The sequence below is a fragment of the Homo sapiens genome, chromosome 20 (assembly GCF_000001405.40).
Source record: "Homo sapiens chromosome 20, GRCh38.p14 Primary Assembly".
NCBI lineage: Eukaryota > Metazoa > Chordata > Mammalia > Primates > Hominidae > Homo > Homo sapiens.
The window spans coordinates 20,066,336-20,090,982 of record NC_000020.11 but is presented as its reverse complement, the minus strand read 5'-3'; the positions used below and the strand labels follow the sequence as shown (position 1 = coordinate 20,090,982).

At 42.0% G+C, this 24,647-nt stretch overlaps 1 protein-coding gene across 2 annotated transcripts in view; it reads right to left on the bottom strand.

The window, feature by feature from the left end:
- CFAP61 (cilia and flagella associated protein 61) overlaps nucleotides 1-24,647 on the bottom strand; it is a 308,167-nt gene that overhangs the window by 269,716 nt on the left and 13,804 nt on the right. For both annotated transcript variants that reach the window (NM_015585.4, NM_001167816.1), the window contains 5 exons: nucleotides 19,979-20,129; nucleotides 16,605-16,681; nucleotides 15,727-15,794; nucleotides 15,368-15,494; nucleotides 7-139 (listed from right to left, as the gene is read on the bottom strand). In NM_015585.4, the coding sequence (NP_056400.3) occupies nucleotides 7-139; nucleotides 15,368-15,494; nucleotides 15,727-15,794; nucleotides 16,605-16,681; nucleotides 19,979-20,129 (556 nt within the window). The remainder of the gene's footprint in view (nucleotides 1-6; nucleotides 140-15,367; nucleotides 15,495-15,726; nucleotides 15,795-16,604; nucleotides 16,682-19,978; nucleotides 20,130-24,647) is intronic.

Here is a 24,647-nt window from a genome sequence, read left to right as displayed (position 1 = left end):
ACTGACCTCACACACAACAGCATGATTCTCTTCATCTTGGGCCTCTATTAGTTCGGCCAGGAAGTATTCACCGTAAGTTTCCTTCAGAATTGTGTCATAGCGCATAAATATTGGCATGAGATCGTCATGGTCTTCCACCCTGTTTAATAGAAAGGCTGAAGTTCAGTGTTCGTTCACTCATTTTTTTCCTTCAACAGGGCACCAACTGTGTGCCAGACCCTGTTCTAAGTGCCGGGGCTAGAGCAACACTCATGATATCAACTTTCCTTCTTTTTTTTTTTTTTTTTTTTTTTTGAGAGGGAGTCTCACTCTGTTGCCAGACTGGAATGCAGTGGCGTGATCTCGGCTCATTGCAACCTCTGCTTCCCGGGTTCAAGCGATTCTCCTGCCTCAGCCTCCCGAGTAGGTGGGACTATAGGCATGCACCACCACGCCCAGCTAATTTTTGTATTTTTAGTAGAGATAGGGTTTCACCATGTTGGCCAGGATGGTTTCTATCTCTTGACCTCATGATCTGCCTGCCTCGGCCTCCCAGAGTGCTGGGATTACAAATGTGAGCTGCCACGCCTGGCCTGAACTTTCCTTCTAATAGGAGAAACAGACAATAAAGATGTAACCAATTTAGACAATTCTAAACATTTCAAATAATGATACATGCTTTGGGATAGAGAGTGAGAGGGTCAAGTGGTCAGGGAGGACCTCTATGAGGAGGGTCATCTGAGCTGAGAGCTGAATGAACAGAAAGGGAAGAAGCTATGTTGAAACCTAGAAGTGGAACATTGCAGGCAGAGGGAACACAGTTGGCATGTGTGGGTGTGGGATGCAGGGAAGCACTTGTCATGGGCCAAAGGACAAGAGACTAGGGGCAGCACTTCCCAAGGATGTTCTAAGAAACACCACTATGATATTGTCCCGAGCATCCTCTCAGCCCAAAGAATTCCAATGCCTAAAAACAGTAACCACTATAAGTCCCTTCCTGTTTCATAGTTACATATTAAAGACTCTGAGAAGCACTACAGTAAAGAATATTTAACCTTGTTTATGCATTTTTCAAACACTGGCCCATGGCATCCTTTATTCCTGAGATGCCTCTGCACTTGCCATGGAGGGGAAGGCTGGTGAAGTGATGGAGCACTGCTCACCCTCCTGGGGACATCCACTCCGCTTCCATTCTCAGGACCCTCTACAGAGACCTTGACAACTAGTCTGGCACAGGGGGCGGTGGCAGGTGGGAACAAAAACCAGATTTATTGCAGCTTGGGGAGGCTAGCTCCTGTGTTCCATCTTGCTGCAGGATTTAACACTCCTTTCTTCTTTTTAGCACATTCTTGGGTAAGTTTAGTGCTCTTTTTTACCTGTGTGGGATGTTCTTATACTTTGCTTTTTTTTTTTTTTCTCTGATACTCTTTCTGTAAAAATGTTTCAGCATTGTGTTATTTTTTTCTAGTATATCTGCTTTGGCTACTAATGTCTATTTCCTCCCCCTAGCTTTACTATGCTACCATCTTCATCATCCCATTTTATCTTCTAGTATGTTCTCTTTGACGTTAATAGCAGCTCCATCTACTGAGTGATCAGTATATATATATATATATAAAGCTCAGGGCTTTATCCAGATGATTTCTGCTACTGTGTTTCTCACAGTGATCCCAGGAGGGTGGCACTGCCATTTTCACTTTGCAGAGGGAGGAGAGCAAGGCCCATGGGGATGAGGAAATGCTTTGCCTGAGATGACAGAAATAGTTGGCAGCAGAGCCGTGATATGAGCTCTGGTCTAGTGACTTAAGCCCTGCCTTCACACTCTGCTAAGCTGACAATGCACTTCAAAATCTTCCTTTATTTTGACTCTTCTTTTGAACATTTGTAGCTGGAAGCAAAAGAGTTGAGAGGGGAGTCCTTGGCTAGGGGCCAGAGGTTATCGTCCTGCCAGCCCTGCCACCATTCCTCCTGCGCCCTGCAGGAACGAATCCCCTGATCCTGCCACAGCTGCACTTCCTAAGTCTAAATGCTTTAAACTGAATGACCGCATGCACTCTGGATGAAAATCTTCACCCTGCTCCCAGGATGAAACCTTTGCCTCTGCTGACACAAGTGTAACGGTTGAAATGATGCTGGTTTTTCATTAAAAACAGTAAGTATCTTGATGGAAGAACTACACAGTTGAAAAGCCAGGTCTCTGGTCTATAAAACTTCAGAGGGAAGGAGGGAGCCAGCCAACAAGACCACGGTACAAGGAGGAAAAAACACACACAGAAGATGACAACTCGGGATGGGAGGGACCATCACCATGACTCCACAGGTTGAATCTTCTTGTTAACCTCTTGATATGGTTTGGCTGTGTCCCCACCCAAATCTCATCTTGAATTGTAGTTCCCATAATCCCCACATGTCATGGGAGGAAGCTGGTGGGAGGTAATTGAATCATGGGGGTGACTGCCCCCATGCTATTCTCATGATAGTGAGAAGGTTCTCAGGAGATATGATGGTTTTATAAGGGGCCTCCCCTTTCACTCGGCTCTCATTGTTCTTTCTTGCTGCCTTGTGAAGAAAGATGTGTTTGCTTCCCCTTCCACCATGATTGTAAGTTTCCTGATGCCTCCCCAGCGCTGCAGAACTGTGAGTCAATTAAACCTCTTTCCTTCATAAATAGTCTAGTCTCAGGTATGTCCTTATAGTAGTGTGAGAATGGACTAATACACCTCTTGTCAAAACTCTCTGGAAGGAGAGACAGCAAAGGGTCCTTAACCAGGCAACCAGATCCTTTGTTTTTTAAAACTGTCAACCTGGCCCTGATGTCATCACCACCAAACAGTCTTATTCCATGATGCAAGGGCATCAGCAGGAATTTCTAGTGATGAGGCTAAAACAGGAAGCCAGAAACAAATGTCAACCATTTTTTGAATGGGTATGACTGTACTACTGATGCTGCAGTCATTTTTCAAGCTATTTCAGCCCTGCAATAATTTACAAAAGGTAGGGCCTTGACCACTTGTCCATCTATTTCTGCATGTGATCACTGAGCATTATCGGTGGTCACCTGTGGCCCAGTGGACTGAGGCGCCACCATAAATGCATTAAGTCTTATGGTGCTCTTGAAGAGATTAGAAAAAAAAAAATGATACAGCATAGTGGTCACAGCCTGAGCGGGGGAGCCAGGCTGCCTGGGTCTGGATCCTGCTTCTGCCCAGCTGTGACCTTGGGTACTTTACCTCTCTATGTTACCGTGTGTGCATCTGTCACAAAAATAGCAAACGTTAAAAAAGGGTTATGTGCAATGTTATTGTTATTATCATTATTACTTAGGCAGGAGAAACCAAAAAGAACTGAAGAATTTCTACAGTCAGTGGGTGGAATAAGAGAGTTTCTTACTACAGAAGCTTGAATCACTGCACTCACTTCCCATTGACTACTGTAAGGAGAAACTCTGTCATTCCATCCACCATCACTAATCTTCTTAAAACCCTGCTTTCTTCATCTTACTTTAAAACTTTTACATGCAGCCATAAGAAATAATGAAATCATGTCCTTTGCAGCAACATGGTTGCAGCTGAAGGTCATTACCCTAAGTGAATTAATGCAGGAACAAAAAAACAAATACTGCATGTTTTCACTTATAAGTAGGAGCTAAACAATGGGCACTCAGGGACATAAAGATGGTAACGATAGACACTGGGGACTTCTAGGGAGGGGAGAGAAGGAGCAGGGTATGGGTTGAAAAACTGTTGAGTACTATGCTCAGTACCTGGGTGATGGGATCAATTGTACCCCAAATCTCAGCATCATGCAATATACCCGGGTAACAAACCTGCACATGTACCCCCTAAATCTAAAATAAAAATTGAAATTATTTTTTTAAAACTCCACTTTTGCAAGCTCCCCACTGTTTCTGGGATGGGCACAAAATTCTTTGCCTGCATCTTTCCACCCTAGTCACCAATAATGATACAAGTTGATTTACTTATTGTCTCTAGAAGGAGACTTCACCATCTTCCCTCCTTCCCACCTCTATTTCTAGCCAGTGCTCTGATCCCCTTGCCTATCCCCAATTCCAGCATCCTCCAAAGCTCATCTCCACCCTACACCCTCCGGTGACTCTTCTCTCCCAACTTCCCTTCCCAGGAACCCAATGATGGGATCATCACTGGATATATATTGTCCAGTTCTGGTGCTAATTCTTACGGCCAAGGTGTGGCATCTTCCCAACCACGGAAAATGCTCTTTAGGGACACAGAAGGAATTCTGTAGCAGTTCTTTAGCATGTAACCCAGCAGCAATAGCCAACGTGAACTGGGCCCTTACCTTGTGCTGAGACCTTGCCAAGGGTCCCATTTACACTGACAGCAGTGAAGGGCAGAATTTTTATGCCCAAGGGGCAGCGTCTGGGCAGTCTGAACCTATGGTCCCATGCTGGTGGCATCACAGCCCCTCTACTTAGCCTTCTGACTCTACTGACTAAGAAACCGGCAAAGTCCATAAAAAATGATGAGTTCATGTCCTTTGTAGGGACATGGATGAAGCTGGAAACCATCATTCTCAGCAAACTATCTCAAGGACAAAAAAACCAAACACTGCATGTTCTCACTCATAGGTGGGAATTGAACAATGAGAACACATGGACACAGGAAGGGGAACATCACACTCCAGGGACTGTTGTGGGGTGGGGGGAGGGGGGAGGGATAGCATTAGGAGATATACCTAATACTAAATGATGAGTTAATGGGTGCAGCACACCAGTATGGCACATGTACACACATGTAACAAACCTGCACATTGTGCACATGTACCCTAAAACTTAAAGTATAATAATAATAAAATTTGAAAGAAAAAAAAAAAAGAAACTGGCAAAGTCACTTCAATGCTAAGACTTGGTTTTCTCATGTACAAAAAACAGGTAGGGACAAGAATAGCTGCAAGACACAGATGACGCACTAAAGCCTGCTCTCTGGGGCACACTAAGTCCTTAGCAAGTGTTTGTTCTCCACGTGAGCCCTCAGAACCTTGGCAGAAAAAGCCTAGAACATTCCAGGAACAACTCACTTCCCCACTTAACCTGCCAAAAGGGCATTGCTAATAAGAGGTGGTGGCTTTTCTCTGTAAAAAAGAGTCCTTGATGATATTGGCTAAGAATAATTTGTAAAAAATTCTAGGAGAGAGTAGTCAACAAATCCATTTTCAAACGTTTTGCCAAAAATAAAAGGTTGCATCAATATTTATTAACAGACATTTTAAATAATGGAAAAATAATTCAATAACCTAATCATTTAAGTGAATGAAGACAGCAATCACACACAATCAACTGTGCACCATAGGCTTTTAAATATACGATGGACACAGAAATATTACTCTGTAGCTATAAACATCAGGAATAAAGGTTCCGAAAGACCCAGAGCCCTAGGCCTGCTCATGAACCTCAGCAGCCCGTTAACAAAGTTATCCATAATCATACCTCAACACGAATTCTTCTGGGAAAAATAGAAAAACATCCAAATCTTGGAGTTCTGAAGAGGCTCTCTCTTAAGCCCTTTCCCAAAATGGATAAAGAGGAACTTGTTCTGCTAAATGCATTCCTTGGGGTAATTGATAATTTATGATCTTGCATCAGCCCGAGTGCTAATGATAAAGTATGACATCAGCCTCACATAGTCTCAAATGGCATATGACAAAGTCCAGCCCCACAGAAACAAAACACCCCAGCTATGGAAAACAACTCATGCAGTCAAATGTTTCAACGTGACTGTTCTGAGGCAATGAGCGCTGCCTGTCAAAGTCAGGATGCAAGGAGAGCCACTGTGAATTTGGCACCGCAGCGTCACATGCCCTGGCACTGACAGGCCGCACAGTGTTCCAGTGGCGATGAAGATGCGGAGTTTATAGATCAGCACAGAGTGCAACGGAAATAGTACAATTCTCTGAGCGAAAAGCAAAGTTACTTTATATCTTCCATTCTGAATGTGTCTTGGAGGGGGCAGCAATGTGCTTGTTAACGTCATCAATTATACAATATTTTATTTTAACTTCCCTGGAGGAAACAAAAGGTCCACCTCATAAACACTTATCAATCTCTCAGACACCCAGATTTCCATCAGACTCTGAAAACTGTGCCATGTGAAATGGAGTTGAACACACACCTTAAGGAAATCAACCCCCTTTCAGGACACCCTACTTGGGAAATGGGTGTCTTCTAAGTCCACAGCTAGAAATGAGCCGGTAGCTCTCACTGGCTTCCTGGAAGGTGGGGAGAAGTGAGGACAAACTCCCTCAGCACTTCCACCAGTCGGTTAGCTGAGCTTGCTAGGAGCACCGCGACATCCAGAACATGCAGAACTCTCCCTCGCAGCCTGATGGGTCTCTGGGTGACACGCAGATCCTGACATTGCTTCATCACCTCCACAGCCTGGCTGCTGCACTACATGATTACGGCCCCAGAGGAAAACCTGCAGGCCTGCTTCCCTCGAGTCTGAGAGGTGTGCATCACTTCCCTGCCAGCACAGAAACCACTGCAAATGCACAGATGGAAAACTCACACTTAAGGACTGGAGTGACAGCAGCAGCAGCAGCAGCAGCAGCAGCAGCAGCAGCAGGCCACCTCCGCATCCAGAATCCTGGCACAGCCTCCTCATTCCTGTCTGATGATATTCTCCATATCCAGAGAGGATTTGTATTTAAAGCTGGACTTTAAAATGTACAGTTGTAAAATGTACAACTGAATGTTGTCACTTCAAACACCATAAATATATTTCTTCAAACCTGTGTGTGTGTGTATTTTAAGAAACCAGTGAATTAAGAAAACAAGTCATAGAAAATCTAATTTAGTGGTAGTGATAGAGAATGCAGTGTGTTCTAGTTAAGCCAACTTTTTACCATGAACACCATCTCAACATGGGGTAGGAGAACCTAAGATCGGCGTCAACTAGATTTTTCTTTCACTTCAGGTATGCAAAACCAAGCACCCTTTTTCTTTTCAAGATCTCTTGTGACCTCTAGTGGTCTTCTTTAAGAAAATCAAATCTATCATTTCTAAACTCCATATAGTATTCCACTGTAGAACTTCCAAATGGGTTTTGGAGTCATTTAGCTTCTAGTCCTTGGAAAATGTCATGATTTTAAAAATTATGAAGGGTTTTAAGCTCAAATTTGTCATGTGCTTTTCAAAGCACATCTGATCTAAACGTCCATCCTGGGCTAGTATGGCTCCAGCTGGACTTGGCTCCACCATAGACTTGGTGGTCACTTACCAGTCTTATTCATGAAGATTGTTGGGGGAAATCTGTAATTGCCCTATCCCTTCTTTTGGAATGCTTTAGGATATTCATAATTATTCATATGAAATTGCTCAGAAGTCAAGTTTAAGTGGATTTCTAAAAAGCATGACATGGGACTATCAAATGTTTCATTAAAATGATTGCCTTAAGAGTTAAAAGTTTGTAATTACAAACCACCCATCTTAAATCTTAAAGAATGTTTTTTTCATCTATTTTATTTCTTTTAATTTCAATAGTTTTGGGAATACAGGTGGTTTTTAGTCAAATGGATGAGTTCCTTAGTAGTGAATTCTGAGATTTTAGTGCACCCATCACCTGAGCAGTGTACACTGTACCCAATAGGTTGGATTTTATTCCTCACCCCCTCCGAACCTCCCCCTCCCCAGCCCCCACGGTCCACTATGTCACTCTGTATGCCTTTGTGTCCTCATAGCTTAGCTCCCACTTACAAGTGAGAACATACGGTATTTGGTTTTCCATTCCTGAGTTACTTCACTTAGAATAATGGCCTCCAGCTTCATCCAAGGTGCAACAAAAGACATTATTTTGTTCATTTTTATGGCTGAGTAGTATTCCACGGTGTATGAATATCACATTTCCTTTAACCACTCATTGGTCGATGGGCACTTAGGTTGGTTCCATATCCTTGCAATTGTAAATTGTGCTGCTATAAACGTGTGTATACATGTATCTTTTTCATATAATAACTTATTTTCCTTTGTGTAGATTCCCAGTAGTGGGATTGCTGGATTGAGTGGTAGCTCTACTTTTAGTTCTTTAAGGAATCTCCACACTGTTTTCCATAGTGGTTGTACTAGTTTACATTCCCACCAGCAGCGTAAAAGTGTTCTTTTTCACCACATCCATGCCAACATCTGCTGTTTTTTGACTTTTAAATTATGGCCATCCTTGCAGGAGTAAGGTAGTAGTATCTCACTGTGGTTTAATTTGCATTTCCCTGATGATTAGAGATTTTTCATCTATTTTAAAAAGCAACAAGGTTGAGCCAATTTAATCAACCATTGTTATCAACAAAGAAGCAATACTCCACTAAGGAAACCAGTTATTTCACAACATTGTTTGAAAGCACATAATCCTTTCCTTGGCCAAGTCTCCTCCCAGCCCCAGGAGGACTTGAAAAAGACAGGTTTTCCCCCAGAAAAAGAGCATGCCAGTAGTTTCTAAATCTGAACACATCTCAAATCCACCATGGATGATTAATTAAGCCCACTGTAGATTTTAGAGGTGTGTCCAGAAGTAGCTATGCTTTATTTCAGATAGTATGAAAAGTACAGAACAGTAACTTCACTAATTACTGTCTAAGTAGATGGGCAGATTACAGCATAATTTTCCACATGGGTAAATCAAAGAAACAGGACAGGGGATTACAGTGTTAATTCATTGGTTTTGAATGTGTCACTAGCCAAATGGCTGAAGGATAATTACATCCCCAAACCCTTCACTGGTTCAGTGTCTTACGAATTGTGTTCTTCACCATTAACTATCAGTGCAAGTAACTATCGTTGAAACGGATGTCAAAAAATACATGTGAGGGAAATAAGAGAAAGGAGGCAACCTAAGAGGCACACAGCCACGCCCATTTGATGTTCTGTAAAGTCTCCATTTTTCTAGCGTTGTTAAGGAGGGAGGTAGTCCACACAACTGCAATCTCCAGATACATGAAATTCTGTGCCTGCAAGTATCAAAACTCGAATCTGAACATGTGGATAGAGGGCTTTCTAAAATGTGCCACACTCTCTACCTTCTGCAGGCAAAGGCACTGACTGCCATACTGTCACCATTTCCACACGAATTCACTACTGTCCACTTATCTTCTAATAAACATCCCTTCCTCACTGCAAAGTACCCACTGTCACCTCTTTGCTATCATTCCTCTTGTGTTTTGCTTCTTTCAGATTTTCTATGGGCACATCAGGGGCTGTATGTGCAAGACCTCAGGTTAAGGTATCCAGGTTTATTTCAAGTTTTGTGAACCTTGTCCACTGAAGGTTATAGTCCATAGCACTCAAGTTTTCAAGAGAAAAATGGAAGAAAAGAAGGAAGGGGTGTAGGAAAGGAGGCAGAAAGGGAGACCAAACCATAACCATCTGTTACCAAATGCTTACTGGGAGCCTGGCACTGGGCTGAGCACATCCCACATCTTTTCTCCTGCACCCTGCATCCTGAGTGACAAGTAGGCTATTAGCGAGTAAATTAACAGACAATACCTTACTAAAAAGTGAAAGGAATAGGGAATTTTTGAATGGGCTGCTTCTATACATGTCATTTTCAGTGTTGGATTTATATACAAGTTTTCTATTACAATAATCCCTTGCTGAATAACTAAGTTGAAAGTCCTTAATTAAGCCCTACATACCTCCAGAAAATGATAATTCCCAAGATACAAATCGGGTATCCTGACTAAAACTTAAGAAAATACTTTTAGAAATTTGCCTTTGTCAGTTGTAAGTAACTCATATCTATCCCCTGCCCAATCCTTTGGAATTGTCTAGAATTGCCTACTTTGTAGGAACATGTTTAATCATCTGGTAGGATGATAGCTTAACTGGAAGTTACTTTAAATTCAAGTATTTTATTCATTTAAAATGGAACCTGTAAAATGGCACTCAAACTCTCACAGATTTAGACAAATGCAATTTAAAGCAACAAAATACTATTTTGGTCTAACAGGGAACCTTTTTTCTTTTCTTTTTTTTTTTGAGATGGAGTCTTGCTCTGTCGCCAGGCTGGAGTACAATGGCACAATCTCGGATCACTGCAACCTCCGCCTCCCAGGTTCAAGAGATTCTCCTGCCTCAGCCTCCCGAGTAGCTGGGACTACAGATGCATGCCACCACGCCCAGTTAATTTTTGTATTTTTAGAAGAGACGGGGTTTCACCATGTTGGCCAAGATGGTCTCAATCTCTTGACCTCGTGATCTGCCTGCCTCAGCCTCCCAAAGTGCTGGGATTACAGGTGTGAACCACTGTGCCCGGCCAGGAAACAGTTTTAATAACTGAAAATACTCAGCACTGATGAAGATGTAAGGAAACAACTCTATTTGGTCAGAATATAAATGGATATGATATTTACGTTGAATAATTTGGTGGCATCTATTTTTAAATCTTAGAATTTGCAAACATCTGGGTATTTCCTACACCAAATTCCACATTTAGTTATCTGTTGTACACTACTATATATGAATGCTGGATGATATATGTACAATGCTGTTTACTACAGTATTATTTTTTATAGAAAAAGTGGTAAATTTTTTACAGGAAACAACTTAAATTAAATTTCCATAAATAAGCAAGAGCTAAATGAATTGTATTAGAGCTACATGATGGTTAGGCCATCATGGACCAGGCACCATCAGAAAAGAAAGAAATTGATCTCTAAAGATGATAAATGATGAGATGCTATGTTAAGTGAAAAATATAATTAACAGAACATATGATCATGGAGATATATATAGGTATATATGTAGAGAGAGTGCATGTATGCCACTATACTTGTGTGTGTATAGTTACATACACAGAAAAATGAAAGAATAACTTTTACTTTTAAGTTTTATGATTTGAAACTAGAATTCATTTTATTAAATAAACCCATCTCCCCAAAAAATTAGTAAATGGCATAAAAAATGAGAGATTTTAAAATGAATATAAAAGTGTAACAATTGTTACACTACTTACAAGATCCTAAGTAATTAATTTGTGGAGATTCTTGTAATTTAAAAACTGAAGGTAATATTTCTTTAAAAAATATAATTTCCTGAAGGACAGGAGGGTCTATTTGCCTCCCCTGACACTAACAAGAGACACTTTATAAATCAGGAATAAAAATTTGAAAGACATGAGAGAACCAATTAAAAATGTCATTTCATACACAAAATTCCATTTCTTCAGACTGCCTTTGGCTTGCATTAGTATTTGTATCATTATCAAAGGGTTTTATAAAGAGAGGATTATTTAGCTATTAATAAAAAGAAAGTAATGAAAGATCATTTTATATGAGGAATTTTCTTCTCTCAAACTAAATTAGGTAGATAATATGTATCTGAAGTTCATCTGCTTCTTGGTGAACTTCGTTAAGAGACATGCTGCCCCGCTCTCAGAATGCAAATAAAATGCTCCACGTGGATAGGAAAAACGGGATCACATTACACTGTTTGCATAATGTTCAGCATCTGCAGGTAGGTTTCTGGCCTCCCTCTCTCTGCTTCCCTTCAACACAAAACTTCTCTGAAGAGCAGTGACTTTCTCCAGCAAAAAGGAAAAAAAAAATAGCACTGACTACTCCTTTGCTTTCATTTCCTTACCTCCCATTTATTCCGCTCACTGCAATTTGGCCTCTCCTGTGAAACTCTGCCCTTCAAGGAGTGACAAGACCACACCCCAAACCAAGAGTTCAGAAGTAGGGCACTGGTTACTGAGTGGCAAGGTTGGCACAGAGGAGTCAAAGGGATGAGCTTGAGAGAAAACTGAGGACTAGGTCCTGAGGAAGGCAGAGTTCAGAGTCATGAGAACAAGAGAAAAAGAGGAGAAAAAGAGCAAATCAGGCTGTGGGTTGGGGAGAGGCCAATGTCTGGGCAGGAGGGCCCCCTTCCTCTCACCCAAAGTTCATCTGATTTTTCTTTAATAGATACGGAAGCATCCAAGTTACCTATTTTTTCTTAAATGAGTTTTGGTAATTTGTGTTCCTAAAGTAGTTGGCCCATTTTTATCTAAATTGTTAGATTTATCGACATTGAGTTATCTGTAATGTCCCCATATTAATCTTTCAATGCCTGTAGGATCTGTAAGTGATACCACCTCTTTCATTCCTGATACTGGCAATTTGTCTTTTTTCTTGGTCAGTTTGGCTGGAAGTATCAGTTTTATTCATCCTATCTGTGCCTTTTTAAATTGCCAAATCTAATGGCTTCTCTTTTACTTAAATAATTTCATTTCCCTGCATCTTTTGCCACTTTATGAGTCTTAATTTCTTCTGTATTCCTCTCCCTCTCTTCTAGTTTTCATTATTCATAGCTCATTTTCATCTTTCAAAGTTCTGCCCTGGTCCTGTGCTTTTTCACTGTGCAATCTCCCCCTCAGCAAGACAATCTCCTTCATTTCATGATCTCCCCACTTACTGACAAACTGACAACTCACAAATGTGTATCTCAAACCTGGCTTCTCCCTCTGTTTCTATTTCCTACCTTCTCCTGTCCATTTAAATCTATTATTTCTACTTTCAGTTAATGAAAGCACCATTTCCCCTAAACTTGAAAACCCTGAATTACCATAAACTCCTCATCCCTCAACTCCTCCATCCAACTGGTAGCCAAGCGCTACTCTCTAACATGTCTCTCTGTATCTATGCACCTGACCTGATCCTTTCCCTACCACGTAACCAAAAATAAAATTCTAAGCTCCCCCAAACCAATGGAATGGACTCCTCCTCTCAGCCAAGGGTATTCTAACATAAACCTGAAATACCAGTTCAGCGCATGATGGGATTGGGTGGTCGGTCATGCCTCATTATACTTTCCCTTTGGAATTTAGGAACATTTGACCAGGATTAACATGAAAACAGAGATCTTAAGAATGACAGAACAGACTCTTTGTAGGAATAAGATACAAACATGACAGCAGGGCAGGCCCTGAAATAAACTGAAGTTTTTTACCCCAAAATATATTTCTTTGACATACTTTGAAATGACCCTGCAAAACTGTCTCTTCGGAGAAAATTCTACATTCTGTGGTGAATCCCCTTCCTTTCCAGGCATTTTTCCTGATCCAAGAGAGAATTAACTAAGAGTCAGGCATATTTTTAAGTCTGATAAAAAAGATTTACAATCTATTCTCTCTGAAGCCTGCTACCTGGAGGCCTCATCTGCACAATAAGAACCTCTGTCTCCACAACCCCTATCTTAACCCAGACACTCCCTCATATTGATTCCAGGTCTTTAGATAAACCCTTTCAATCAACTGCCAATCAGAAAATCTTTGAATCCGCCTATGACCTGGAAGGCTCTTCTCTGCTTTGAGTTGTCCTGTCTTTCCAGACTGAACCAATGCACATCTTACATTTATTGATTTGTGTCTTATATCTCCCTAAAATGTATAAAACCAAGCTGTAGCCCAACCACTTCAGGCACATGTTCTCAGGACCTCCTGGGGCTGTGTCAAAGCCCTGGTCACTTGTATTTGGCTCAGAATAAACCTCTTCAAACATTTTACAGAGTCTGACTCTTGCTGTCAACAACCTGGATCTCTGTGACCTGTCGCTGCTAGAATTCCAGCCTGTGTCATGATCTCCATGATCTTGGTTTCTATCTCTATCTGATTCCTATCTCTGTGGATGCTTTTCACCCATTTTGTATATCACAAAAGTGTAATCAGCAGTACTGTATATGCTTTTCTAAGTCTGCCTTCACTCAGCATAAACCTTCTGAGATTGATTCATGCTACTATATGTAAATGGTTCATTCCACTGAATTGCTGAGTAGCATCCACTGTATGGATGTACCACAGTTTATAAGGGTAAACAACATTAACTGGTGGATGGACATTTAGAGGGGTTTTTTTGGGCGGAGGAGCAGTTGTAATGAAGCTGTCTTCATCTCTGTCTGTGCATCCCGCTTCTCAGCTACCAACATGACAGTTAACTGAAGATGAGTCTCTCCCCACCACTTAACTCTAAGCCCCTTTGTCATAATAATATTTAATATTTATTGGGCCCTTACATGTGGCAGGAAGTGTGCTAAGTGCTTGATGTTCATTAGCTCACAATCATCACAATCTTGTGCTGTAGACAATACGCTTACACCCACTGACAGAGGGAACTTACACCCCCGCAGATGTCACGTTCCTTTTGTAAGTTAACCCACCTCGTGAGCAGGAGAGCCAAGATCAGAATCCAGATCTATCCGATGCCAGCATTACAAACTCTTAACAACGATGCCATACCACTGCTACATGCCTGGTAAATCATAGGCTCTTACTTTTATAAAGTTTTTAAAACTTTTAAAATACTTTTCTAAAGAAAGTCAGCATTCCTCAAACACAGCAATGGCTGATCCCAAAAGATACAATTTATTCTTCACTGATAAGCCAAGCAACCACCTCTGTGAGATGATTTCATAATGCACTCTTATTTCCAAACAGCCACTCTACATTGCTCATGGTTTTGTGAGTCAGAACTCTGGCAGGGCTCAGCTGGGCATCCTCACTTGGGGTCTGTCATGTGGCTGCGATCAGATGTCAGCTGTGCTGTAGATATATGGGGCTCTCCTGGGCTGGGTGTCCACAATGGCTCATTCACACCACAGGCAGTGGAAGCTAACTGTCAGCGGGAGCCCAGCTGGGGCTGTCAACCACCCCTCCCCTTGCGAACATGTGGCTTCTCCAGACTTCTTACATATGGCTGGCTTCCTCCAGAGCAAGCATCCTGAGAGAGCCAGGCAGAAGCTTCCCAGCCTCACAAGTCCCAGAGCATCCCTTTGGCCACGGTCTACTGGTCAAAGCAGTCACAACCCACCCAGCTTCAGGAAGAGAGGACGGAGCGCCCAAGGCTTGAAGAGAGGAGTGGCAAAGTCACATCAAAGAGTAGCCTGCGGGGTGGAAAGTAGTGTGGCAGCCATCTTTGGAAAACACTGCCACAGCCATCTCCCTAAGACTGCTGGACTTGGGGCACCTGATGGTAGAGACCTTCAATTTGGAAAACCCCTCTTTGGGGTCAACAGCATCCTCATTCACTGAATGTCAGAAAATAGGTGGGTTTTACCGAGAAAACTGAATAGGCAGGTTCATTTTTAAGCTTGTTTTATTTGAAAGTTATCTTACTGGTGTGGGACCTAGGATTGTGTGTTTTCAGAAACCCCTAAGGAGTCAATGAATAATGTTATAGCCACATAGAACCAAATGAGTATCATCAGATAGTCCTGCAAATAATGTCATTAAGGGGAACTATAAAGATATCCAAATGAAGTAATGCTTATGAGTATTGTAAAAAATTTTGATCTAAGCTATAGTCACTTAGCATTGGTAGTTTAAAGAGTCTTGGGAAGATGACTGTCCCAGTGAAGCTTAGGTCACACAAGGCATGACTCCAACTGTACCTGGCTTTGCGAACGTGCAGCTGAGGATAGTGGCTGTGCCTGTGACATATATGCACTGCAAAGTCTTCCTCATACGTCAGACACGGGATGTTCCCCACTTGGTCAAAAACAGTTATGAGAGTTGAGCCTAAATCACAGAGATAAAGAAACATGTCCTTATTTATCAAGAAATAAATTTGGGATGTCAGAACAAAATGTAGTTTCCATTCTAAATTGTGCTTAATTGTTCTAATAAAATATGCACATGGTACATTGAGGACCTGGAGACCACTCTTATTTCTCATTCCCCAAAGCACCATTCTGGGAGTGAATTTTCAATGTTTGCTACCGGGGACCAGAGGTGGTTGGGCGGGCCTTACCTAGGCTCATGTAGGATGGCACGATGAGAAATATGAAGTGCAGCTCTGGCACTGCCTTATACACGGTTCTGGTGAGGAAAGAGAGGGTGGGGCAGTGTTACTAACAAAGCAATCCCATCAGCTGGCACTTGATGAAGACAAATGCTGTCACTAAAAAGGTGAGGTGTTCCTAAATCCACATGGGCTCCTTTGCTCCCCACCTGCAATGGCAAGAACAGCCTCAAGGCAATTTCTTTTTCTTCTCTACTTTTCCTTGGGTTCTAAAGGGCCCCTTTTCGATCTGTCCCATGGAGGCAGAGAGAATAAAGGGTGCCATGTTCATATGGCACACCAGATTTCTGCTAATATTAACCTTTGACCTGGCATCTGGACGGTCTGGTGTGACATTACAAAGTGACTTGAAAGCTGTGACCACCACCCCCAAATGTCTGTGCAGGCTGTCAGAGGCTGTCAGAGACACATCGCCATGACTCGGTAGCCCTGCTGGTCATTTTCCATGCATCCTATTATTCAGGATGCTTTGAAGTCTGTCATGTTAATAAACATTTCTAAAGATAAGATAAAGAAAAGCAGTTTTTAGAAATGTCCAAGCTTGCGACACTTAATTCTTCTCCTACTCCCCTCAACCTAAATCCATTTCTTTAAATTACTGCACTATCTGTTTGCCTCAAATGATAACAGCGTGCAGAATGGACAATAGATTCAAAGAACTATCTCCTTTCAGAAATATCATTGCTATTCAAAGTAAATATTTTAATATAGCCACAAATTACAAGCAAATTAAACACCCCAAAGAATTTCATGTCTTTTAAAAAATATTTCAAAACTATCCACACAGTCTCTTTCATGTTCACCACTGCACGGCCATATCCACTCACCGAAGAATCTCTTTGCAACAGCCAACAGAATACTCATCCACGGCCACAAAGAGGTGCATGAACAACGTATTCAGGGGCTGCAGAAGAAGAGAGAACACGGATTAAAGGCTGAGTCAGTATTCGGGCTAGGTCAGCACAGGGTGGAAAGAGGGTTTCGGGGCATCCACAGACACAGAACAGCCTGGCATTTAGGGTTGATATTTTATGTCTAAGTGATGCAACACCCAGGCGGCATTTGAGCTGTCTCACTGACTCCGTTTGCCGCCTTCTGTCCTCCTTACTCACAATTATTTAAGGAAACAGGGACTGTAAATGAGTCCAGAGCACCCGCCCTTCCTCCTGCCCTCACGAATGAGCTGCGGGAGAGCCTGCAGGGGAGTGAAATCGATTATTAACTCAGTAGTCTTGTCCTCAGGGGTGTCTATGCCAAGTGAAAGACAATCACCCTTTTCCCGGCGCTCTTGAGTCAGCAGCTGCTGCTCTATTCATGTGACAGGAGGGAGAGATGCTCTTATGAATTTGAAAAATGGAAGGCAGATGCCACGTTCAGAATCCATTGGCTTGTTTTGTTCAACATTCCCAGAGTCAGAATCAAATATTACTCTTGGGATCCAAAAAACCTGGGAGCTGAAAACTCACAGTAGCAAGATTCTAGCAAGACTTTCCAGTTAAATCTTCCAAGTTTTAAAAGAGCTTTGTCTCCTCCTTCTGAGACTTTTAAAGTGGCCTAAATAATGAGTAAATGGTTCAAACATCCACACATTGGTCCACTCAACTCGGTACCCCTGTGCTTATGAACAAATCTTCAAATTCTGGAAACAGTGCAGATGTAGACTGGCTGACTGGTGAGGGTGGTGCTGGTACCTATATCAGGACAGCACAGGTGCTGCCTAGGTTTCTTGTTTTTTGAATAATTTTCTGGACAGCTTTGTGGGACCAGTGGCACTTCTGTGTGCCTTGTCCCCACTTCTGTCGGATGGTGTGTGACTCAGAAGCACTCGGAAAGAATTGTACGGTGACTAAAAGCGCAAGAGGAAAACCATGTTTTGATTCATGAGCTTGAAAACTCCCAAAAGGCAAACAACACAAATCCCAAAAGTCCAGATAACGATGACGACGACATGATTTCAAGTACTTGCTGTGTATTCACTCATTTAATCCCACAATAATCTCACTCAGCATTTGCCTTACATCCTGAATAGGACTAGCCTCAGGAGCATATGGCTTATTACTTGCTTGATTTGTCTCCCAAATTCTCTCTTCCATCATAAATATTACAATGCAAGATTTATTCTTTAGCTTTAAGATAAAAATCATTACTTCAGCTGCAAATATCCCTGGGATAGATACTGCATTAAGCCTTAAAGGCTCTATACTGGTTACATCCAGCAGAAAAGTAATGCAAGCCACAAATGTCATTTCAAATTTTCTAGTAGACACATTAAAAAAGAATAAAGATAAACAGGTGAATTAATGTTTAATATTTAAGTTAATATTTAACCTAATATATTCAAATTATATCATTTTAACAAGTAATCATTATAAAAATTATTAATGAGATATTTTACACTCTTTTTTTCCTACGAAGTATTTGAAATCTGGCATATTTTATACTTATGGAACACCTCAATTCAGACTAGCTACATTTCAAGCGCTCGTTAGTTACATAAGGCTGGTGGCTACCACATTGGACAGCCCAGCACTATACTGTCATAGAAGACAGCTTGAAAAGAAACAAAAGGGGCATGTGTTTATGAATAAGAGTGTTAATTTATAATTTTCAGAAAGGTAAAATCATAACCCTAATGCAAATATAAAATAAACATCTATCAGAGGTTTATTCAACTTCAACAAATCAATTAATGAGGCAACCAGTGAGATGATAAAAATGATTCTTTGCACTTGAAGAGCTGGATACTTCAGGTGATTTACTAGGAAAAGGAAAGAATAAGATTGCTGGATTAGGCCAGGCACAGTGGCTCACACCTGTAATCCCAGCACTTTGGGAGGCCGAGGCAGGTGGATCACGAGGTCAGGAGATCGAGACCATCCTGGCTAACATAGTGAAACCCTGTCTCTACTAAAAATACAAAAAAATTAGCCGGGCGTGGTGGCAGGCGCCTATAGTCCCAGCTACTTGGGAGGCTGAGGCAGGAGAATGGCATGAATCTGGGAGGCAGAGCTTGCAGTAAGCCGAGATCGTGCCACTGTACTCCAGCCTGGACGACAGAGTGAGACTCCATCTCAAAAAAAAAAAAAAAAAAAAAAAAAAAAAAAAAAAAAAAAAGATTGCTAGATTAGATACCAAATAGGTCACATCCTGTAAGACAATAAACCATAACCTTTGAGGTTAGCTCTATCCAGACAGGAATTCTTTACATCCTAATGGACAAAAATCTACAGGCTAATCACCATTCCTACAGAATTGTAAAACAGGCTACTCAACCAAAGGTGCAAGCATTGGACTGAAATAATCGTTTTGGTCTATTTCCAAGTTTGCGATAATTTTTCTGACAATAGTCCTTAGGTATACAGGGTGGCAGGGTAGGAGAGAACACAAAAGATGAGGGGAAGGCACCATCTAGTGAAATAAATGCTGAATAATATGCTTACGGGTGTGTGTATGTGTGCACATTCACACACATGTACGGGGGGTGAATTCACTCACACTCATTGGGCATTCCCTTTTCTTCTGACATCAGGGCTCTGGGGACATGCTGCAGAATTCCACCACAAGGCCAGGGTGCTGCCCAGAGTTGTAGCCTCTGGCACTCCACAAAAACTGGGGCCTGTCTCTGGCCTGGCTCTGGCAGGTTGCATGCAGAGAAAGCTCAGACTTGGCATCAGGTACCCAGGCCAGACTCCTGGGAACCACTAACCTAGCTTCTGTTGGCTGACAAGTTGTCATGTGTCAGCAGCTAGAAGACATCAAATAAGCCAAGGTCCATGAGGGCACTTTGAAAATTATAGAATGTGACAGAAGTCTGAGGCTCTGCTGTCATGATTACAAGGGCAATTGTGTAGACGGCAGGTGCTCTCCTAACATATCAATGACCTTGGACACTGACGCCTGGAGAACAACGTGAGACCTGGAAGCACACGTTTGACACTTCCACTAATTCCTCCCCCGCCGTCATTAGTGAAGCACGATCCAGGCCTTGCCAGCGGCTAGCCAACTTGGCTACTCCCTGCCCTTTCCTATCCCCCCTGGCACTACTCTCAGCCCTCTTTTCCTCCCCACCAGCTCCCTTCACTTTTAACTGTCATGATGTCATATACTGCTCAGTACAAAACTTGGAAAGACATAATCACAAACACAGGACTTCCCCTCAAGATTCAGGGTGTTCTAACAAGCACTGTATGTGATTTCTTACTGTGCATGGGATGTCACTGTCGAGCTCCCGGAACACTGACACCCAGTCATCCTGCTTGGCAACATTCCAGTTGGGGTAGTCCAGGAAGGTGGCCTGGGCCATGATCTCCTCCTTGTCATTGCAGAGGGTAACAGCAAGGTTGGCCTTTTCTCTGCAGAAATGATTACAATTGCAAACATGAATAAGATTACAAAAAGTGAGGTGAGGACATGCCATTTTTTTCCCTCTGGCTACTGGAGCTCAGCAGCCACTGCATGAGGTCAGATAATCTTTGGAAAAGGTGAGAATGATATTGCAGCCACTTTGGGGTACATCGTTCAGGACAAGTGGTGCTGTCAACTAAACTTGTATTCAAAATGACATTTCATTAGAAAGGTATTACATTTATGATATTGAGTATCTACTATCTTTCCCTTGGAGACTGACTAGGAAGATATTTGACTACACAGTTTCCCCTATCCTCTCCATGTTGCCAGTACCACTGTGTTTGGCCTAAACATCTATGGTTAGGGTGGCCAAGTGTCTCTCTTTGCCCAGGACTGGGAGTGCCCAAGATATAGGACTTTCATGGCATTAAAAAAATGAAAGTCCTGGGCAAACTAGGATGAATGGGTCACCTATGAACAGCAGTAAAGCTAACAGTCTAGCTCCATCTCAGTTACCATTCTCAAGCAATTCCTCCAAACTGTGAGTTCATGTCCCTGGACTTACTGATTCATTCATATGGAATCTGGGCATCTGGAATATCATCTGACCCAGCTGCAGAAATGGGGACTCCCAGGGGTCTTGCTTAAGCTAAGGTAACCCAGTGAGTTAATAAAGCGAAGAGAGGAGAAGCAGGCTTTCCAGTCTTATTCTGGTGGTTGTCTCAGAGGGACTATCTTGACAATCCCTCCCAACTGCTACCCTGTCTTGTGGCCCATCAAGGCAGCAAGACTTAAAGGCACTTAAAGGCAGCATATAGTTTACCACCCCAAGAACCATTTGTGCATAAATTTAAATGCATTTTTTACTTTCTTAGTGAAATGAAATCTACTGGCATCTTAAGTTGGAGGAAGAAATAGTTAAACATTCACTCAAAACACAAAGAAGGCAGCAGTTACCCATGTTCCTTCTTGAGGAGAACAGGAAGAAGCAAGCATGTAACTGGAGGAAGAGGCGGAGAGGAGATGACAGGAGGACAGAAAGTGACATGGGCTTTCCAGTTATGTTTTTATCACAGAAGGAATACACTGTCAGTGCAGACAAGAACGAGAAAATCTAAGCAAGAAGAGAAAAAATAAATAATTTGGAAAATCACTTTTAATCCCACCTTCCATTGATAACCAACCACTGTCAACACTTTGGTTTCTGTCTCTCCAGACTTATCTTTTCGTGAGGTAACTATACGTTGAAATGTACATCGTGTGTTTTTAAAACTAGAATCTGGCCGGGAACGGTGGCTCACACCTGTAATCCCACATTTTGGGAGGCCAAGGTGGACAGATTACTTGAGGCCAGGAGTTTGAGACAGCCTGGCCAACATGGTGAAAACCCATCTTGACTAAAAATATAAAAATTAGCCGGGTGTGGTGGTACATGCCTGTAATCCCAGCTACTCGGGAGGCTGAGGCAGAGAATCACTTGAACCCAGCAGCCAGAGGCTGCAGTGAGCCGAGATCGCACCACTGTACTCCAGCCTGGACAACAGAGCGAGAATCCATCTCAAAACATAATAATAATAAATAACAATAAAATAAAAATGGAATCTCACAACCTATACTATTTGTAGCCTGCTTTTTCCCACTTGACAGTGTAACCTTTTACAAGAGCAGTTCACCAAACAGCAGTCTCTCACACACATGCGCTTCCTGTACTTTTTTTCTTTAAATCAATTTACTTTGGGCTTAAAATTTTAATAGGAAATATACATCACTACCATAAATGGAAAACCAGTATCTCTCGGTATATATAGAAGGTAAAGGCCGGGCGCGGTGGCTCACGCCTGTAATCCCAGCACTTTGGAAGGCCAAGGCAGGCGGATCACAAGGTCAAGAGTTCGAGACCATTCTGGCCAACATGGTGAAACCCTGTTTCTACTAAAAATACAAACATCAGCTGGGCGTGATGGCACATGCCTGTAGTTCCAGCTACTTGGGAGGCTGAGGCAGGAGAATGGCTTGAACCTGGGAGGCAGAGGTTGCAGCGAGCCAAGATGGCACCACTGCACTGCAGCCTGGCAACAAAGCAAGACTCCGTCTCAAAAGAAATAAAAAGGAAGGTAACTATAAAGATGTAACATTTAAAACAAAAAATTTTTCCTGCATGTAGCAAGTGAAATCCCCCTGGGTACCACCGGATGTACGGGCGTCTTTGGGAAACATTGTGCTGGGGATATCAATCTCAGTGCCTGCAGCCACTGTCCCTTCTCAAAGGAAGTCACAGCAGCCACATATGATCACACTCCTCAGCCACAGGGGAATGAAGCAGGGCTGCTCCTGGTCCAGGGGCCCCATACGAGCACTGGCTATCAAGGAAAGGAGGGAGTAGACTGTCCCAGGTTCCTAGAATACAGTATCCACACAGGGCTCTTTAGCACAGGGATGCAGCCCCACAACTTCTCACTGAACCCTTAACTTCCGTCTACCTGTAAGTCATCTCCCTCCAGCTCTTGGTCTTCTGGGCTCCTCTGCCCCAGACTCCCAGAGTCATGACCTATGGTCTCAAGCTGAGAGTGCTCCCTCTAAACCAGATGAGAAAATGCACAAGACGCTGTACATGTCAGCTCTGACGATAGTGGTGATGGTAGGGAGGAGGAAGTGGGCAAGAATTTGGGACAGCGCAGCCACCATCCCCTCAGGGAAGCAAAGAACAATGTGTTCCTGGAATCCAATTCTAACGAAATGCATTTATCCATGGGAACCTCAGGATGCTGGTTGGGTCTTACAGTACAATTAGCACAATACTATATACCACATAGACATTAAAGATTCAGTATGCTTTTGTGGGTTGGCCTGGGAAGCCAGCCATGAATTACTTTGTTTCAATGGGAAAATGCACTACAGTTTACAAATAGCTGACTGTAAAAAGTAACTTTTGTAGCATTATCCTTTTATGTATATAATTTTCACTTCTTATTACCCCTTAGTCACTAGGTCCCCCATAGCACAGATAAAAATCACCATGGGAACAAAGGGAAAGAAGAGGAGGAAAAGGTAGAGGGAGAAGGTAGGTATATATATATATATAATAAATACATATATAATAATATAAATATATATTATATATAAAATAATATGAATATATATTATATATAAAATATGAATATATAAAAAAATTATATATAATATAAATATATATATTATATATATATATATATATTTTGAGATGGAGTCTCGCTGTGTCACCCAGCCTGGAGTGCAGTGGCGCGATCTCAGCTCACTGCAACCTCCCCATCCAGGGTTCAAGTGATTCTCCTGCCTCAGCCTCCCGAGTAGCTGCGACTACAGATGCCTGCCACAACGTCCAGCTAATTTTTGTATTTTTAGTAGAGACAAGGTTTCACCATGTTGGCCAGGATGGTCTCGATCTCTTTTACTTTTTTTAGTTTTTTTATTTTTTGAGACGGAGTCTCGCTCTGTGGTCTGGATCTCTTGACCTCGTGATCCACCCACCTCAACCTCCCAAACTGCTGGGATTACAGGCGTGAGCTACCACGCCCGGCTGAGAAGGCATATTTTTAAATGTTGGATTTTAAACTGTTCTTTGTAATAAGCCAAATCCAAACTGAAGGAGCCCTATTAACACACACACACATACACACGTATGTCACACCAAATCAGAGCTCTTTTCATTAGAGCAATGCCTCATTTATTCAACTGCTTCAGGAAATTTTCCGAGTATAGCCAAAACTTATTTTCTTTTTTTTTTTTAAGAGTCAGATGTTATAAAACTTTTTATAATATTTTAATGTGGTATAATTTACATGCAGTGAAATGATTTTGTGGGTATCATTTAACTAATTTTAGAAAATAAATACACCTTTGTATCACATCCGCCCCCTCCACACAGAAGTCAATGTTTACATCATCACAAAAAGTTTCCTAATTTATCACCCAGTAAACAACCCATAAAATAATGTGGACTTGTTACTATCAAATCATATTAGTTTTCCTGCTCTGGAACTTTTATTTTATTTTATTTTTTATTACACTTTAAGTTCTGGGATACATGTGCAGAACATACAGGTTTGTTACATATACACGTGCCATTGTGGTTTGCTGCACCCATCAACCCGTCATCTACATTAGGTATTTCTCCTAATGTTATCCCTCCCCTAGCCCCCACCCCGACAGGCCCTGGTGCGTGATGTTCCCCTCCCTGTGTCCATGTGTTCTCATTGTACAACTCCCACTTATGAGTGAGAACATGTGGTGTTTGGTTTTCTGTTCTTGTGATAGTTTGCTGAGAATGATGGTTTCCAGCGTCATCCATGTCCCTGCAAAGGACATGAACTCATCCTTTTTTATGGCTGCACAGTATTCCATGGTGTATATGTGCCACATTTTCTTTATCCAGTCTATTATTGATGGACATTTGGGTTGGTTCCAAGTCTTTGCTATTGTGAATGGTGCTGCAATAAGCATACGTGTGCATGTGTCTTTATAGTAGAATGATTTATAATCCTTTG